Source organism: Homo sapiens, chromosome 3 (assembly GCF_000001405.40).
Source record: "Homo sapiens chromosome 3, GRCh38.p14 Primary Assembly".
NCBI classification, from domain to species: Eukaryota; Metazoa; Chordata; class Mammalia; order Primates; family Hominidae; genus Homo; species Homo sapiens.
This window is the reverse complement of record NC_000003.12, coordinates 81,635,096-81,654,232: the sequence shown is the minus strand read 5'-3', so window position 1 is coordinate 81,654,232 and position 19,137 is coordinate 81,635,096. Positions and strand designations below refer to the sequence as shown.

At 34.2% G+C, this 19,137-nt stretch overlaps 1 protein-coding gene across 2 annotated transcripts in view; it reads left to right on the top strand.

Moving 5' to 3' along the window:
- The window catches only part of GBE1 (1,4-alpha-glucan branching enzyme 1), a 271,943-nt gene that overhangs the window by 107,413 nt on the left and 145,393 nt on the right, over window positions 1-19,137 (top strand). For both annotated transcript variants that reach the window (XR_007095662.1, NM_000158.4), the window contains exons 4-7: window positions 4,312-4,437; window positions 5,242-5,377; window positions 7,751-7,841; window positions 11,243-11,452. Coding sequence is in view for 1 of the 2 variants with exons in the window: in NM_000158.4 (NP_000149.4) it covers window positions 4,312-4,437; window positions 5,242-5,377; window positions 7,751-7,841; window positions 11,243-11,452 (563 nt within the window). In the remaining variant the exon portion in view is untranslated. The remainder of the gene's footprint in view (window positions 1-4,311; window positions 4,438-5,241; window positions 5,378-7,750; window positions 7,842-11,242; window positions 11,453-19,137) is intronic.

The following is a 19,137-nucleotide window of genomic DNA, read 5'->3' as shown; positions in this document are numbered from 1 at the left end:
CTAAGTTAATTTGACTTTTACACAGTTAGAAGTTTCTTTTATTAAATTATTTATGTAATCTAATAATGTCTTTTGATGATAACCTCCTATAAGTCAAATAAATAATTTGGCTCATTAAAAAGGATTATTATGGTATTATTTGGTATTATTATGGTATTATTTTCATTATATTTCTTTCAAGTAATTTGATATATTTTGTTAAGTTGTATTTCTTAATGTGTTAATATACTTAAGGTACGCAAGATGTACACCTTAAGTAGCACACTCTGCAGATGTATGTGTGATTAGATGATTCATATATTTGTAATCCTTACTAAACCGCTTATATTTTTGGAATCTAGAATCTGTACAAGTAAATGAAGTGATAATATCAAAACGTATAGCTAAAAAATAAAAACTACTAACAATCCCCTTACCCATAGGTAACCATATTGATATTTTTATATCTTTTAAAATACTTTAGGCTGTGAGTTTTTGTGCATTTACATTAGAAAGATACAATATATTCTTTCATATAACTTAGAAGACTTTTTCTGCAACCTTTAATATGCTTAAATAGTATATTTTTTAACAACTATACATTATTCAGTCACTCTGTGTTTGCTAATAGAAGTAGCACCAAGACTGATAGACAAGGCTATTGTTTTTTGAGCACATATCTTGATTGTTTCCATGAGGCAAGCTTTTATAATTAGTATTGCTGATTCATTGAAGTTACTTTTTTCTTTTAGCTTTATTTTTTTTTTGTAGACAGGGTCTTTCTCTGTTGTCCAGGCTGGAGTGCAGTGTCATGATCATAGCTCACTGTACCCTTGAACTCTTTGGCTCAAGCTGTCCTCTTGCCTCACCCTCCTAATTAACGAGGACTGTATGCATGCATCATCATGCCGTTTAATTTAGCTTAATTTTATTTTATTTTTCATTAATCTTTTGTAGAGACCAGGTCTCCTTATGTTGCCCAGGCTGGTCTCAAATTCCTGACCTCAAGTGATCCTCCCATCTCAGCCTCCCAAAGTGCTGAGATTGTAGGTGTGAGCCACTGTGCCTGACCTGGAATTAATTTTTCTGAATTTTTGATGCAGATTGTCAAATTGCTATTCAGAAATTTTATACTGCTTTATACTCACACTAGCAGTGTATCAGACCTCCCATTTGACAGTATCAAGTGAACTCTTTTAAACATTAGCTACCAGACTTATTGTTGAAAGATCAATCAAGCCAGTTCTTTCTTTCAGTTTGCTCCATAGCATGCTGACATTTTGAGGTTGTGAGTTAAATGACATAAAGTTTTCTCTAAAAATTTTTCCGACTGGAATTTGAACTCATTGGAGCATAACACAAATGCAGGATGTACCCTCCCCCTCACCAAAAGAGTTTTGTGAGCAAAGTTTAGTCCGTAAAGGCTATAGTCTTTACTCTTTGCATTGTCTCTCAAATTAAATTTATTTAGATTTATTATGATACTCTTATTTGGTTATGAAGATTACAAGAATTTAGAAACAGAAAGTGAAAAGCAAGGTGAGACAGCTACTATAGACAAATGTACTAGTAAGTAAAACCTAAGTTACTATAACAAAAATACTTGCAAAATCCAGGGGCCTAAAGAGTAGAGATATTTATTATGTAACAATCACAGGTCAGTGTTCCGGATTTGGTAGAAAGCTTTGCTCTCCTTAACAGTTGGTTGCAATTCCATGAATAAGAGAGAAGGAGAAAATGGAGAAATTAAAATACTCCACTCAACAAGCAACCCTAGTAGAAATGACTGTTAGAGTAGCAGAAGACAGAACCTTTGGAAACAAAATATTGAAGTTATTCAGTGAATGAGCAAATACTCCTTTGTCAAGTCTGTGATTTGATTTTACCCTACCTACAAACTTAGAAGTTAACCTGTTACCATATTGTCGATTCTGGCCCAGGACTCCTAGAACAGAGAACAATTATTTTATTACTCATGGCACAGTAGGTATCATATTTTCATTGGCTCCCCTTGTCCTCCAAGCCCCATAGGGGTGACACTATATGACCCAGATGGCTGCTGCTCACACGTTGGGTTCACATCATAGCTGGATAATATTGAGCCTGGAGAATCCCTTCTTTTGTAGCAGCTCTGTGTCTTCAAGGGCATCATTATGTTATCCTTGAAGGCTGCTTGCTAGAAGGACAGCCCTAAGAAATGGCTCCCATTAACAATGGTCAGGGCCTTGCCTTCTTGGCATACCCAGCAAAAGATATAGGAGCATCAGAGAACCATGCAGGTATTGTTCCTTTCAACATTCAACACCCATCACTCAGTAGCCTCTGGAGACATTTGTGTGTACAGCAAGATGAATGGATTAGTGTTCCAAAGGATGTGGGGGTTAAATTCAGCATGAAGTAGATTCTTCATGTCTTAAAATTGCAAGTATTTTCTCTGCCAACAGACACCTTTAGAAATTATTATTAGTTTATGATGGGCCTTTGGAGGTATTATAGAGCCGTTTACAAAACAGAGAAAGCATAGGTGGATAGATTAGCCAAAGTGGTAGTCACGGAAAACTGGTTTATAGTATTTTGTTTCCTCATACCTTGTTCTGGGTTGATGAGTGAGCAAAAGGCCCTTTCTTAAACATATTACTGTAGCATATTATGCTACAAATTCATGTAGCTTAAGGGAGTTTTTTTTTTAAGCTTAAAATAGTTGAAATAGATTGGTCTTATTGATTCATGTTTTGTGATAATGGCTTGAATAATAGCAACACCTGGCGATGATTAGCTTTAATAGGTGGGAGGCATAATGAAGGAGAAATAATTGTATTCATGTAACTTAGACATTCCTTTCACCACTTACTTGGCCTCTCCGTCATAAACCATAATTTATTATTTTTTGGCATCTGAAGGAAGTGCTGTGGAAGCCTGTTCAGAGAAGAGAAGTGAGTATTAGAAGCTCTGCGTTGAGCTTTTGGCTCTGCCGCTTGGTTATTTTGGGACTTCTGGCAACTTATGTAATCTCACTTAATATTTAGGTCACAAAGATTTTCTGGAATCAAGTGAGATAAGAATGTAAAAGTCTTTATAAACTATAAGGCATTATACAAATATTTAATTACTAAGAATTGTGAGTACTTAACCTTTCTCTATTAGAGGAGACTGAAGAATACGTTCTCCTCAATGATGAGGACATAATATAGCTTTTAATCTGGATTTTTAAAATTGTATTCTACCTCCTTTTAGAAAGTTTAGTAAAAAAGGCAACTTTGTGTAAAAGCTACAATTTCAGCCTGCTGCATTGGCTCACGCCTGTAATCTCAGCACTCTGGGAGGCTGAGACAGGAGGATCACTTGAGCCCAGGAGCTCAAGACTAGCCTGGGCAACACAGAGAAACCCCATTTCTACAAAAAAACCCCAGACCCCCCCAAAATTAGCTGAGCATGGTGGTACATGCCTGTAGTCCCAGCTCCTCGAAAGGCTGAATTGGGAGGATCACCTGAGCCTGTGAGGTTGAGGCTGCAGTGAGCTGCGATCGCACCACTGTGCTCCACCTGGGTGACAGAGTGAGTCCCTGTCTCAAAAAAATAAAATAAATAAAAAGCTATCATTTCAATCATTTGGAAGTTCCATTTATATGGCTGGATAAATTCAAAATCATTTATTCAGTTCTAAGTCTTAATGGTAGATTCAGTTAAAAAAATAAATTTGTTATTTTTTATTATCAAAAATAGTCATATTGCTGGCAAATATGTGAACGGATGATTAAAGGAGATAATGTTTGGTTTTATATGGTAAAGAATACAACAAATAGGAGGTAAAAGAAGTTGAGAAGGTGTGGAAAATGTATGTGTCTGTGCGTGCACATTGTGTTAATCAAACCTGTTTTTCTTCTTTAGCTTCCTGAACATGTTTTCATTAGTTGCTATAGAAAGCAAATGAAAGAGATGGTTATATAACTCACTAATTGCTTTTTTTAATGGAGTAGGATGATTTTCTCCCATTGATTGATTAATTGACAGAAGCTTCCAAATAATATTCTTGTCTTTTTAGTATCTACTGTTCGTTTAAGTAAGCACTCTTATGGCTGGTTTGCAGTGGTGGAAATTGCCAGAAAGCCATAAAATGTTCAAGCTGGAAGTTACTTTAAGGATGATATAGTAACAGCAGATGAGAAAACCAACATTGATAGAATTATGTTCCTGAAGGTCACACATCTGTATGGTGGTCTAGATTCTTAAGATCAGTCCTCCTTTCCTACTTGTAGCAGTGCTCCTAAACCATTATGTATTATCAGAGTTCTGGATGTATTTTAAAGCAATAACATGTCATTCTCTTTTTAGGTAGTTATTACTAGTAAAAGCGGAGAGATCTTGTATCGTATTTCACCGTGGGCAAAGTATGTGGTTCGTGAAGGTGATAATGTGAATTATGATTGGATACACTGGGATCCAGAACACTCATATGAGGTGAGAACAACAAATCTTTAAATAAATTATTGTTCCAATATTTCTAGGAAAGTTAATTTTTACTTTTATAACTTTTATAGTAATGTTCAATGCTTATCTTCACTGACAGTTGCGTATTTTACATCATAGTATTCCTTTTATACTGTATGAGTATCATAGTCTGTCTTCTGTAGCCAGTAACATATAGAAGTTAGTTTTTGTGTTGTCTATGTTTTTGAGGTTAAAGAAAACAGAATACTAAATTGCTATATACTAATCTATAAGGGATACTGGTTTTTTTTTTAAACTACAATTTCTGATTGATCAGAGACTCTTTAGTGCAGTATTTCTCAGGGTTTGAATTAGGATCAATGTCCTTAGAAACACGGAATGGGGAAGACCATCTCATGAATGTATTAACTAGGGTAATTTTTACCGCCATATTAGTGACAAGTGTTCTGTGATTGTTTGAACTCACTTTCTGTCTTTTAAATCATTGGAGTTTGTTGATATATACTTTGCATTAGATAATTACATATGTATTTCATGGCTCTTACATTTTCTCTAAGGCCTAAGTTAAAAAAAAATTTACTCAATGATAAGGCATAAGCTATTACATGATTTATCTTTTAAAATAGGTCCACTAGCAGGACCATAAGGACTTTTTCCTGAGAGAAAATTTAGTGAGTGTAGCTGGTGCCTTTTATATGTGAGAATAGTTCCAAGTGTTTGAGTATATTCACCACTTTTTAAAAATATACTTGATCAGGTAGTGTCATACCAGAATTCCTGGCTTAACTCTATACATAATTTTATATTCTGTAGTTTAAGCATTCCAGACCAAAGAAGCCACGGAGTCTAAGAATTTATGAATCTCATGTGGGAATTTCTTCCCATGAAGGAAAAGTAGCTTCTTATAAACATTTTACATGCAATGTACTACCAAGAATCAAAGGCCTTGGTAAGTAATAACTGTGATTTTTATTCAGATAAAATTTTAATGAGTCTGTTCTCTTATTAGAAAAGCTAATTACAAGTGTCTCTTTTTTGTGTTAGGAGATTAAATATGTAATAGAAAGGCATTTTATTTTAGGCTTCTCAAATTGCCCTGTAATAGTGATAGCATAGAAAGGAGAAATGGAATAAGATAGAGCATAAGAATTAAAGATATTATTCCAATTTAAATTTTAAGTAATGTGAACTGATGACTTCCAAAATTATAGATAAATATGTAAGCATAATTACTTTTTTACTGGAGGAAACCTTTATCAATTTAAGTGATTATTGACTATAGCCTGTTCATTTTAGTCTGTTAAGGAAAAAAATATTTTATCTGTAATGTGACCGGAACTCATTTTGTATCAGTTATTTTATATAGCCCCTGCCTGGATGATTTATTTAACAAACATTTATAGAATATCTATGTGAGACACATTTTGCTAGATGTTCATGTATTGAACTGTAATGGCACAGATCCTGTCTTCATAACAAACAGGAGAGTAAAGAATATATTGCTGAATTATTGATTCAGTGTGCTTTAAATCTGTTGTTTTTATAGGTAATGATATTTAAAATAATACAACAGTATATTTAACACCTGCTTCAATGACTAGGCAGGAGGATAAAGCACATGTAATTATGCTGCTTCTGCTAGAGAGTCCAAATTTTGGCTAGAAGAAAGGTTTGTAAGGCATGGTTAAAGTTTTCAGTTATGTATGGATTATCTGTGATGGTAAAGTCAGGTTCCAGAAACCAAAATTAATTAAATGTATAGAGTATTTAGTATTAATTATAATTAATAGATATTATGCTAAATTATTATATTTGAGATATTCTTTCATATTATGGAGTAATAAATTGCTTATGACCCAGTTCTTGCAGAACGTTCAGCAGCACAAGGATTCTCTTACTCATCTTTGTGTTTGAATTGTCTAGCCTAGTACCTGGAATGAAAGTGAATCCAGGAATGATTAATGCCATAAAAATTAAGAATAAAACTATAAATTTGTGCTTGATACAAGGTATCAGCCAAGAAGAATGAAACTAATATCTTTGTTTATAAGTGTATTTACAAATATAGTTGTATAGTTACATGAACTGCCATTAACAATGAGCTTATATAAACCTTAAGAAAATTATAAAGCTTATATGAATTGGACTTTGAGAGCAGAATAAGAATATTTACTATGTATGTTACAGAACTGTAACTTCCAAAGTAATGAAATCATATTCGAACATTTTACCAAATTATACTTCAAGAAGAAAAACCTGTTTTTCTTAGCTTTTTTAAGACCAATACTTTTTCTTCTGATCATTTGCTTATATTAAAAATATATTAGAATTTTTTTAATGTTACGGATTTTTAAAACACAATATCTACTTTTTTGAGTCACTTTATTTACTGTTAGAGCAAAACATATTCAGATGGAGAAAGGAAGGTGACGTGTGTTTGTATATGCACATACATGCATATATGCAACTTGGAAATAATTTTTTAGGTGCAAATTATGTAGTGGAAAGTAGAAGCATTAATGCTGACTGTATAAAAGCTACCTTGCAGGCTGGGCGCGGTGGCTCACGCCTGTAATCCCAGCACTTTGGGAGGCTGAGGTGGGTGGATCACCTGAGGTCAGGAGTTCGAGACCAGCCTGGCCAGCATGGTGAAACCCCATCTCTACCAAAAATACAAAAAAATAGCCAGGGATGGTGGCACGCACCTGTAGTTCCAGCTACTTGGGAGGCTGAGGCATGAGAATTGCTTGAACCTGGGAGGTGGAGGTTGCAGTGAGCTGAGATCAAGCCACTGCACTGCAGCCTGGGCAACAGAGCGAGACTCCATCTCAAAAAAAAAAAAAAAAAAGCTACCTTATGGAAAATAAGGGTTTGGTGCTATTTCTTATGCTATATGGAAAAAAGGATTGAAATATATAGAAATACATAGAGTCAAAATAAAAAGCGTATGTCATGCAATTGGTTATTTTTATTTAGCTTTCATAATCTTCAATATGAATATTGCAAGTGTAACTGATGTTTAGCATATGGAGATTGCCGTTTTTAATATGCTAAAACCAAATTAAGTAAATTTGCATATTATTTATTGCTTGTTAAAATGAAGCTATATCAAATAGCTAGTCAGAATACAGCTCTAAGAGACTATCCAATGTTGTTAGAAGGTCAAACAAAAAAATGTTAAAGTAGTAGAACTTTTCAAGACGACCAAAGCTTCTAGATTGTTTGTAAATTTTAATGTATTTGGAATAAGGATGCTTTTTTTCCCCATTACTTTTTTTTTAAATGTGGCTTTTAATTTAGATTTGACCATTGCCTTATATAGGATACAACTGCATTCAGTTGATGGCAATCATGGAGCATGCTTACTATGCCAGCTTTGGTTACCAAATCACAAGCTTCTTTGCAGCTTCCAGGTAAAATCAGAGACTCATTGTGTTCATTTTTATTTTGAGCCAATAATTTAAAGAAACAAAATGAAATTGTTCATTTTTTATAACATCGTGTAACCTTTTAGGGTTAACAGAGTTAATAGAAGCTGAACATTTTCTTTTACTAAGGTCATAGACTCTCTTCTCCTCCAGCCTTAGAAATTGTCCTTGATTTTATGTTACTCCTCGTGGGATGATTTGTGATATAGAATGTCCAGTTACCTGCTGAAATTGTCACTCATTTGGAGCCCACGTTTTAGTCAGAAAATCTTTTCCTATGAAAGCCATTATTGTGAGAGAGCACATCGTTTTCTGGAAAGAGATTGACTCATCTAGGAAGGTCACCGAAGAGTCCCTTGGTACAACAATTACTACTCACAGAAGGGCTGCCCTTCCCTCCAGACTGAAATGGATGGAATAATTCTCTCTGGACAGAAAAGACACCAAGGGATTCTATGCAATTAAAGAGGTGCTGACCTAAAAGACCACAGACCGAAGAAGTCCAACACTCAGTGTCATGGAGTTTATGATGTATGGCATATAGACATTGCTCCCATCATCATTCATACAGATTATTATTTTTAACTGTAATAAAAGCTAAAATGAAAATGACAGGGAACTATAATCAGAAGTCTGATCAGTTTAGAATAGATCAGAACAAATACTGCAAGTGAGATCTAAAACACGACTAAGAGTTAACTGGGGAAAGCGGTGAAGTGGGCGTAAATAGGTGACATTCCAGACAGAAAAAAGATACTGGTTCATTTACCTGTTTCTCTTTATATTAGTTCTCCCTCAATAAGTTATCTATAATACTGTCTCCAAATCCTCCACTCTGGTTCTTTCCTGAGCCCACTCCAAGTATGCGGTCTGCCTCTTTACTGAAGTTGCTTTTGTCAAGGGTATTAGTGACCTTCACATTGTTGAGGACAATGAACAATTCTTAGCTTACTTAAGCTGTCAGCACCCCTTGGTACAGCTGGTTACTGTCACCTTCTTGAAACCTTTTTCTTTCCCTGGCTTCCAGAATATTTTAACCTCCTCTTGTTGCTTTTCCCACCTCACTTGTTGCTTATTATTAATTTCCTTTGCTCTTTCCTCATCATCTTTACTACCACTAAATATTGGACGTCCCAATAATCAGAACTTAGTTCCATTCTCTTCTTCATCTGTATGAAATATTCGGGAGGATCTCATCAAGTCTCATCCAGTTTTGTAGCTTAAATATATGCTATATGTTAACTCCCAAACTTAAGTCTCTCTGACCTATCTTATGAACTTCAGAAAGTATATATTTGATGTTGGAGTATCTAATACATATATCAAACTTCATGTGTCCAAAATTAAATTTCTGATCTTAACTTCAAACTTCCTCCCCCTGCCATCTTCTCTAATTCAGTAAATGACATTTTCATCTTCTAGTTGTTCAAGCCAAAAATCTTGGCATTATACTGGACTTGTCCCTTTCTGTTCCTCCCTACACGCTAGCTATTAAAAAATCTAGCCATCTGTAACTTCAAAATATATCCCAAATCTGGCTGCTTCAACTGCCCCCACTGCCACCACCCATGTCCAACTTGCAATTATCTTTTACCTGGGTTATTTCAATAGCTCTTTAACTGGTCACTCTGTTTTCTCATGCTGTCTTTCCCCTTCTCTTACCTTTGTTCTACCAATTAATGGTCAATTTTTCTGCACAGTGGCCAGAGTAATCATTTAAAAATTAAAGTCAGATCATGTCGCTCTTTTGCCCAGAACCGTAATGAATCCCTGTCTCCTTCAGAATAAAAGCAAAAGGCCTCACACTGGTTCCCAAGGCCTCACTTGATGTGCTTCTTGCCTGACTCTTAGAGCTCACCTCTTTTCTTTCTTGACCATTCCAGTTAGAGTAGCCTGTTTGGTTTTCTTCAAATGCTCTTAGCTCAACCCTGCCCCAGTCCCCTGCACCTGCTGTTCCTTTCTGTCTGAATGCTCTTACCCTTAGATATTATTATGCCTTGCTTCTTACTTTTTTTCTTGCTCAAATGTTGCCTTTTCCATGAAACTTTAACTGATGACCCTATTTAAAATAGCAAACCTTCCCTCCCCACCAGTGGCTTTTCTTTGTTTTCTTTAGGACACTTATTATTATCGACATTCTATGTATTTTGCTTGTTTGTTGTCTCCCAATGGGAATGTAAATTCCATATGATCAGTGGTGTTTATTTTTTTCGCTGGTGTATCTCCAGAACATAGAAAATGTCATGGTACGTGGTAGATGACTTTAGTAAGTGGCAAACAAATAAAGGAATGAATGAAGGAATGAGTGAATGGCTGAATGAAAAAAAAAACTTTAAGGCTGTTTATTATTGAACATGTTCAATGAGTATAAAAATGGATAGGTGGCTGGAATAAAAAGAGGGTGTGGGAGAGTGTCATAAGATAATTAGCATTATTGGAAAGAGCCAGTAGATGGTGCAGTAGGCCACGATCAGGACAATGGTCTTCACCCTGGGATGAATGGGAGCACAAGTATGATTTTAAGTAGGTAACATGATCTTATTTCCAGTTTAAAAAGACAGCTCTTGCTGCTCAGTGGAGTTGGCTATTGGGAGACTTGCTGTATACTTAGCACTGTACCATATCATGAGGAGCCTGATAGTAACAGCCGCTGCCCTCAAGGAGCATATAGTCGAGTGAGGAAGAGAGACAGTAAACAATTGAAGGCAAAGGTGACTATTTAAAGGGCAAAGTTGATGCTGTGGATGACTATAATGTCAAAATTTTACACAGGTTAAGAAAGGCATTCTTCTGTGAGTAATTTTTGTTACCTATTTCATTCAGACTAGGGGGTACCTTTGACACAAACACACCTGCTTGTGAGCTACCCATCTTATTTACTTGGGTGGTGACAAACGTGGCACATTGTCTTGGCCCACTGGTAACTGTGGGCATTCTGTTTTTGGAATAAGTGCAGGAGGGATAACCTCAATCAAGGTACCATGGATATTCAAATAAATTCTTGAAGAGCCCCTCAATCTCAAATGTACACCCTGTAAGTAATGGGCAGTGGGCAAACAGAGCAGGAATGACTTGCTTCAGGTGGAAATCAGAAGCTCTGAAAATAGAGAAGCAGAGTTTTATTATTTACATCCTCAAAATGTGAATTTTGGTTGGGGTATAAATCTACATTTAATAACCCGATTTAAATTATTTTCTAACTTGATGGTTTTAAATTTGCTTAATATTTGATATTAAGCAAATTTGAGTTGTATCCAGGTATCATGTCACATGCTGTTTGGATATTTAAAGTATCTAGTACTGCGATGGTGAAACAATTGCTGCACAATCGGCTGTTTCCTCTAAATGTGATGTAATCTTCTTTTTGCTGTGTTCTTCATTGTTAGCCGTTATGGAACACCTGAAGAGCTACAAGAACTGGTAGACACAGCTCATTCCATGGGTATCATAGTCCTCTTAGATGTGGTACACAGCCATGCTTCAAAAAATTCAGCAGATGGATTGAATATGTTTGATGGGACAGATTCCTGTTATTTTCATTCTGGACCTAGAGGGACTCATGATCTTTGGGATAGCAGATTGTTTGCCTACTCCAGGTAGGTACATACAATATAGAAATGTTTTCTATTGTTGCTGTTTAACATTAATTTTTAAGAATTTCACTAAATTCATTGTGTGTGTACTCTCTCACTGGTACTTAATGTTCTTAATTGGATTTATTTTTGTTGTACAGGGGATTTTACCTTGTTTTGTATAGCACATGTATTTGTGGTATATTTCATTAAATTTCAATTTTACATATCTTACGCCATGTAAAATATATTGGTTATATAATCATTTAAAAATTTTACTGTGAATCATTTTTTTTTAATATCTAAAAGGCCACTTTATCAATTTGACTTAAACCATAGCCAGTCTCCTTTTACTAGAGAAATACATTGTTTTAAGTAGGCCATTTAAAAAAATCATACTTCATTGCTTCATATCTTAAAATTACATGGTTTTGATTACAGCTAAATTAATTTATAACTATAAAACAACAGTTACTAGTATATAATATGTTTCATGTATGGTGCCAAGTGTTTTAGATATATTAGCTACCTATTTTATCTTATTTAATCTGCACAGCAACTCTACTTACATGTGGTAAACACTATTGTTATAGCCATCTTACAGATAAATAAACTAAGGCTTAGTGTTGAAACCATTTGTTAAGATCAGACAGATCTCTGACCTCTTCTACCATTTAAGGAGAAGAGTGTTTTACGTGATTAAATAGCATATGGCAAAAATTAAAAAGACAAGTTAAAAAACCATGAACTTGTGTTTATTATTTATTGTAAGTGAAAAAATGAAAATGTCAAGCATATTAAAAGCAAAGTATCAAGTAATGTATAATACATATTTTTATAATACATATACATATTTGAAATATGTATATGTATTATATACATATTATATATATTTTATATATGTGTATGTATTTTTGAAAAAAATTAATGAATTTTCTTTCCAGTGTTGCATCATACATAAACATAAATATACCTAGAAAATAGGCTGTATAGAAAAATGTCTCAGCAAATAATTTTATAAAATGAAGAGGTCTCATTTTTCAACCTAAATTAGATGACTTATATATGAAGGAAATTCATACATTATTTCTGGATATCATACATTATTTTATATTTCATAGCCATTCAGGAATCACTCATGCCAGATAAGACAGTGTAATAGGTGAGAAAAGAAACAAGATGGTAGCTGGGTTCCTGGCCTAGACTCACTCTGGTACAAACTGATTAATCATTCTTATTCTCAGGCTTTTTATTATAGAAGGAGGCAGAGTTTGGGGACTAATATAGTTTTGCTCATGAAGGTATTTTGTATTCATGTCACCTTTTGAACATTTATTATTATGCCACAGATTTATGGCAAATAAAAAAGACTAAATCTGTGTTAATTCTGTGATATATTAGGTTGGTGCAAAAGTAATTGTGGTTTTTGCCCTTACTTTTATTGGCAAAAAACTGCAATTACATAACTCTACTAATTACATTGAGTACATCTTATAGAAGTAGAATATGCCCAAGAAATTCAATTAATTGAACTCTCTGGTTTATAATTGGATGAAGGAGGGTTGACTCTATTTTGTAGAACTGTGCCTTATGAAAGAAATATATTTATTAAATAGTTAGATTTTTATGTTTTAAAACAATTCTTCTGTAGAATTATACCTTAAAAAGAAATACATTAAGTGGATGGATTTTTATGTTATACAACATTTTTATTTTATTCACATGTTTATTGTAGTGTACCTTGTTGTACCAAAGTGCATTTAAACTTAGCCAATTTTCTAAACAAAAGGGATCATACATCATTGTTTTCAAAAACATTTCTATCACAGAAATTGAGACAAACTTAACATTGTTATTTAATACTCGGCTTCTTTTTTATTGAATTAACTATTAATCTTTCTCATGTGCATGCTTTTGGTAAATAAAGCATCCTATAGTTTTAGCTTAATTTATTTTTTATTGTGACCATTTTATTTGTTTTTTTTCTGCTGTCATATAGACTTAGTCCTCTGTAAATATAGTTTTATTAAATTGCATTTGTATTATTCTACATGTCATTCTGTTTGACCAATATCTAAATTTTCCCATTTTATAGAATTAGTATTTTCTATATAGGTTTATACTATTAATGTATTAGGGTTCTCTAGCAGGAGAGAACTAATAGGATATATATATATATTTATATATGAAGCTATATGTATTTATCAAGGGGAGTTTATTACGAGAACTGACTCATAGGATCACAAGGTGAATTCCCACAATAGGTCATCTGCAAGTTGAAGAGCCAGGGAGCTAGTCTGAGTCCCCAAACCTCAAAAGTAGGGAAGCCGATAGTGCAGCCTTCAGTCTGTGGTGAAAGGCCCAAGAGTCCAAAAGCTGAAGAACTTGGAATTTGATATTCGAGGACAGGAAGCGTCCAGTACAGGAGAAAGATGGAGGCTGGAAGACTAAGCTAGTCTAGTTTTTCCACATTCCTCTGCCTGCTTTTATTCTGGCTGTGCTGGCAGCTGATGAGATGGTGCCCACCGAGACTGAGGGTAGGTCTGCCTTTTCCAGTCCACTGACTCAAATGTTAATCTCCTTTGGCAACACCCTTACAGACATATCCAGGAACAATACTTTGCATCCTTCAATCCAATCAAGTTGACAGTCAGTATAAACCATCACAATTAGTCATGACATTATTAAACAATATAGATAAAATCCTCCAAAGCCAGTGTATATAAATTCATTTAAACAAATACTTCTTAGCAATCATGATCAAAGTCCTACTTTGCTCTTTTGGTTATTTATTGCTGCTTAGTAAGCCAAAAATTTAGTGACTTAACAGCAATATTTATTTTGTTCCCAAACTCACAATTTGGGTATACCTCAGTGTGGACTGCTCTTCTTTTCTTCACCTTGTGTCCCCTGGGGTGGCTCATATAGGGGACAGAGCATCTGCTTTCAGGATGGTTCACTCATGTGACCTACGGTTGGTGCTGGCTGTCAGCTAGGAGCTCAGCCTTGGTTGTGAGATTGAGGACCCCAAATCCCCTCCTCCTAGCCCACTCCACAGACAACTTGGGCTTTCTCACAAGAGCGATAGTCCCAAAAGACAGGATATGCAAGCTGCCATTTTATATGGTCTGGGTTTAGAACATGGCAGAGTGCCATTTCTGTTGAAAACTACTGGTCAATCACAGTTTCAAGAAAACTTGAAAACTTGTTAGTTTATCTAATAAAACTTGTTAGGTAAAGATAAGAGAATTTTTGCACATATCCTTAAAATTCCTTAACGCCCCTCCCTTCGAAGGGGCGTTAAGTAATTTTAACCACACACAACGAATATGCTACTTTACAAATTCAAAATAGATGTATTGAAATACCTGTTCATGTGGAAATATTATTTACTCAGCCATATTTCTGTTATGAGAATTATCAGAGAGTTATGTCTGAAATAGCCATTTTTTTTAAAAAAAAATACACCTTTCATTATAAAATAATGCCATTGTAATTAGAAAATTTAAAAAGGCACACAAAATTCAAAATAAAAAAACTATATTTGAAAAATGTGAACAACATACTTGTATTTAGCTATATGTGAATGCATTTAATGAATATTCCTTACATGCATAGAAATACATAACCCAATCCTTCACTTTCACCCTCTTCATAAAATAGCTACTCTGCCTGTAATTTTGAGTTTGTTCCTTATTCAGATGAAATCAGAAATTACAATTTATGTTTCATATTTTAAATACAAATTTTTCCACCCCTTACATTTGTTAGGCTGATTAATTTTATAACCCATTGACAAACAGACATAAATATGGCACATGGCTTGCTTAAGACCTAAGCCTCTTCTTTGAAAACTTTTGTCATAATTTTTGAAATTATTATATTTACTGTTTGAAAAAATTGATGTTATAGAATTGCTTCTGTAGAGATATGTTGCTGATGCTCATTTTATCCTATCTATATGTCACAACCTGTCACCATTTAGAATCTGTGATTCAAGTGCCATCATCAAAGTTACCAGAATTAAATCTCTTACTCTGAGTAATACCAGAGATCCTGACTGTGCTATTTCATTACCTGCTATGAATAAATTTCCAATCAGGAGCTGCCCATGTTTAATTTTCTGTCTACTCAGCTGAACTGCCTTCTAGCTTTGCTAAATTAGTAATGACAGTTCATCACAGAGATTGGGTTGTCCTTTATTTGGTAAAGAGAACTTTCTGACAAGTGTGTCACCCATAAGTTTCAGGAGTTTCTAGAATTAGTAATAATGAATATAATGTAGTGGTCCCAGTTTTAAATTCTGTTTGCATATTCCTCTGGCACTACATAAATGCACTTTTAAGACAATGAAAACTTGTTGGATTTAAATAACTGCTATGCCATAACCATTACTAAATCTTCAAATGAATATCTTTTGTTCGTTAAATATTTCTTTCAAAGATAAAATACTGACTTCTAAAGGAGATAGCAAAGTAGATCTAATGCTCATGTTTTTCCTCCTTAAACTTATGTTTGGACACAAAATTAATATAGTTATATTTCATCAGCTTGAGTTCATAATATGGTAACCATTAGGCTAAAAGATACTCTCTTTTCTTGAGCAACTAGAGTTGTTTTCAGAAACAAAAGTGAGTCCAATTGGTCTTTTTAGGGTCATAAGTATGTAGAATAAAGTACTCTTAGGATAGACACTATATATAATATTTGGGACTTCTTAACCATGGTGGGCATTTTCTACAAGTTAGTATGTGGAAGGAAATTCAAGGGGTTCTCCCTGCTCAGAGTGGATTTTTGTATCTGAGGTAATTATTCTATGATATCTTACCATATGGCTTTTCTATGGTTAATTAGAATTGATTTTTAATGGTAAGCCAGTCTTGCATTCCTGAGGTAAGCCCTCATGACCATAGATGTAAGTATTCTAAACAAAATTTTAGCTTAATTATATATGATATTACATCATGACCAAATCAGTTCTCAATGATAAATATTAACTTGAGGGTTATTATGCATCAGTATACTAGCTAACGAGTATATGACACCATCATGATTAGCAAGATTATTTAAAAACTAAGCAACCATGACATGAATGGAAAATTCTAAAATTATTTTTAAGAGGATTTTTAAGTCATACACTACTTTTTGATTTTGTCATTGAATTACAAAGAGAACAATTCACCCAATGACAAAAACAAAAAAAATACAGAAAAAATAGCATACAAAGGATAAATATGTACAACCACATTTGAAAACAATTTGGTATTATTTGGTAAAGTTAGAGATACACATATACTATGCTGCATTTTTCAATATATATGCTTGGAGCATATGTTTGTCAGAAATTTTGGAGAGATAGACTTAAAAAAATCACTCCTTTCAGAGAACAGTAGGCGCCCCCATTTATCTGTGGTTTTGCTTTCTGTGATTTCAGTTACTCATAGTACTTTAGCTTGAAAATATTAAATGGAAAATTCCAGAAATAAGCATTTCATAAGTTTTTTATTAGTTTTCAATAGTAGCCTAATGCTATGTCACAATGAGGTCATTCACCTCACTTCATCATATAGGTACCTTATCTTCATAGCATCACAAGAAGAAGAGTGAGTACAGTATTACATTTTGAGAGAAAGAAAGATTACATTCACATAAATTTTATTACAGTATATTATTATAATTGTTCTATTTTATTAGTTATTGTTAATCTCTTATTTTGCCTAATTTATACATGAAACTTTATCATAGGTATGTATGTATAAAGACACAGTATATATAGGGTTTGGTATTATCCATGGTTTCAGGCATCCACTGGCAGTCTTGGACTGTATCTCCTAAAAATAAGGGAGAGCTAATGTATTTGTTTTTAATTTCACTGGATAGATTTCAAAGCACTGAATTTTTTTATAATTGAAGTAATATAGCATCATTTTAGACATATAAACACCTGCCTTATATGCTTTACAAAAACAAATGATGGCTGGACATGGCGGCTCACACCTGTAATCCCGGCATTTTGGGAGGCCAAGGGGGGCTGATCACCTGAGATTGGGAGTTCAAAACCAGCCTGACCAATATAGAGAAACCCTGTCTCTACTAAAAATACAAAATTAGCTGGGTGTGGTGGTGCATGCCTGTAATCCCACCTACTTGGGAGGCTGAGGCAGGAGAATTGCTTGAACCTGGGAGGCGGAGGTTGCAGTGAGCCGAGATTGCGCCATTGCACTCCAGCCTGGACAACAAGAGCAAAATTCCATTTCAAAAAAAAAAAAAGCCAAAAAACAAATGATGGATGATTAAAAGACATTTTGGACATAGTTTAGCAAACAGCTAACTATTCCAAAGGAAGTCAGACAGTAAGAAATAAGCAGTAACTTATAGCCTGTTCTTCACTAAGAATATTATAATCTCACAGTATGTTAATAACTTTTGAGAGTACTGAGTGTCCCATTAAAAGTCTTCCTGTTTTCTTAATATTTTTTCTTTCCCTTTCAGCATTTCTTCCTTGTTAAAACCAGAATCTTATTTCAGCTTGATTAAGGAGAACAGTTAAATCTACTACTCTTTCAAATAAAGTAGAGTTAGCTTCAAAATTCAGACAGACTAATTCTCTTCTGTAAAAGAGATTAAGAAAGTTGCTATATCAATCCAATCTGTCTGGATTTGAGTTTGAATGGTAGAAATATAACTTCTCTCACAGGGTTTATGAGATTACTCAGTCTAGCAGAAAAGTTTCTGTTGATGCAGAGTGTAGCACAGGAGTAAGGATTTACCGTCTTTGTATAAACTTTGTTCCTGGTATTATCTGCCTCGTTTATTCCCCACAAGCCTAAAATTTAGGAGCACAGGGATATTTTGAAAGTATCTTGAGTATTTACGTCTTACTCACCTATAACATTCACCTTCTCAAATCCAAACTCATGCTGAAGTAGGACAGTTCTGCTGGGTAATTTACCTTAAGTTTAAAAATGCTGCTCATTGCCCTAAAACATCTCTCTATTTTCTTTCTTTCGCTTAAAACAATGGTTGGTGCATGCTTGTGAAAATGGTCCTAAGGTCCCTATTCAAGTGATTATCCATTTAAGTCTGGGAATTATGTGGTATCTATAATAATAATGGTTTTGTTTATGACCTTTTTAAATAAGCAGGTTAAAAGTGGGAAAAAATCAATTTTTCTGTTTTTATCTGGGTGTAGCAAAACAGCTTGTTTAAACATGTCTATTTTCTACAGAATAGACTAGCAGTTTTGAAGTTATGAAGAGATATTTCATGGTTTTCTAGCTGAATGATTTCCTTAGTGTTATGCTGCAGATAAATAACTCATGTTACATTGAGTCACTTACTTTCAGAAAATATAGGTTTTTCTTATAATTTCGAAAGCATCCATATATAAGTAATATAAAATTATTCATTTTTGAGGACCTTATTCCCATTAACTTAGATTAGTGAGCAGGCAGATTTTTATCTAACTTCTGCATTTCCCATCCACATTTTATAATGTTGAGGCATCACTATTGAGTTGTAACTTGGATCTTCGGTCTTCCTTCTGTTTCTTTCACCATATGTAAGAGAAGCCGATAGCCACAGGATTTGGTTCCTTGTCTACTTCTAGGTTTAACTGTCTCCCCAAGATTAGACTTTTACCTGTATAGCCTTTCAAATTCTGTCTGTTGAAAGCATCATTAAAACTTGGGGGCAGTTACAGTTACATT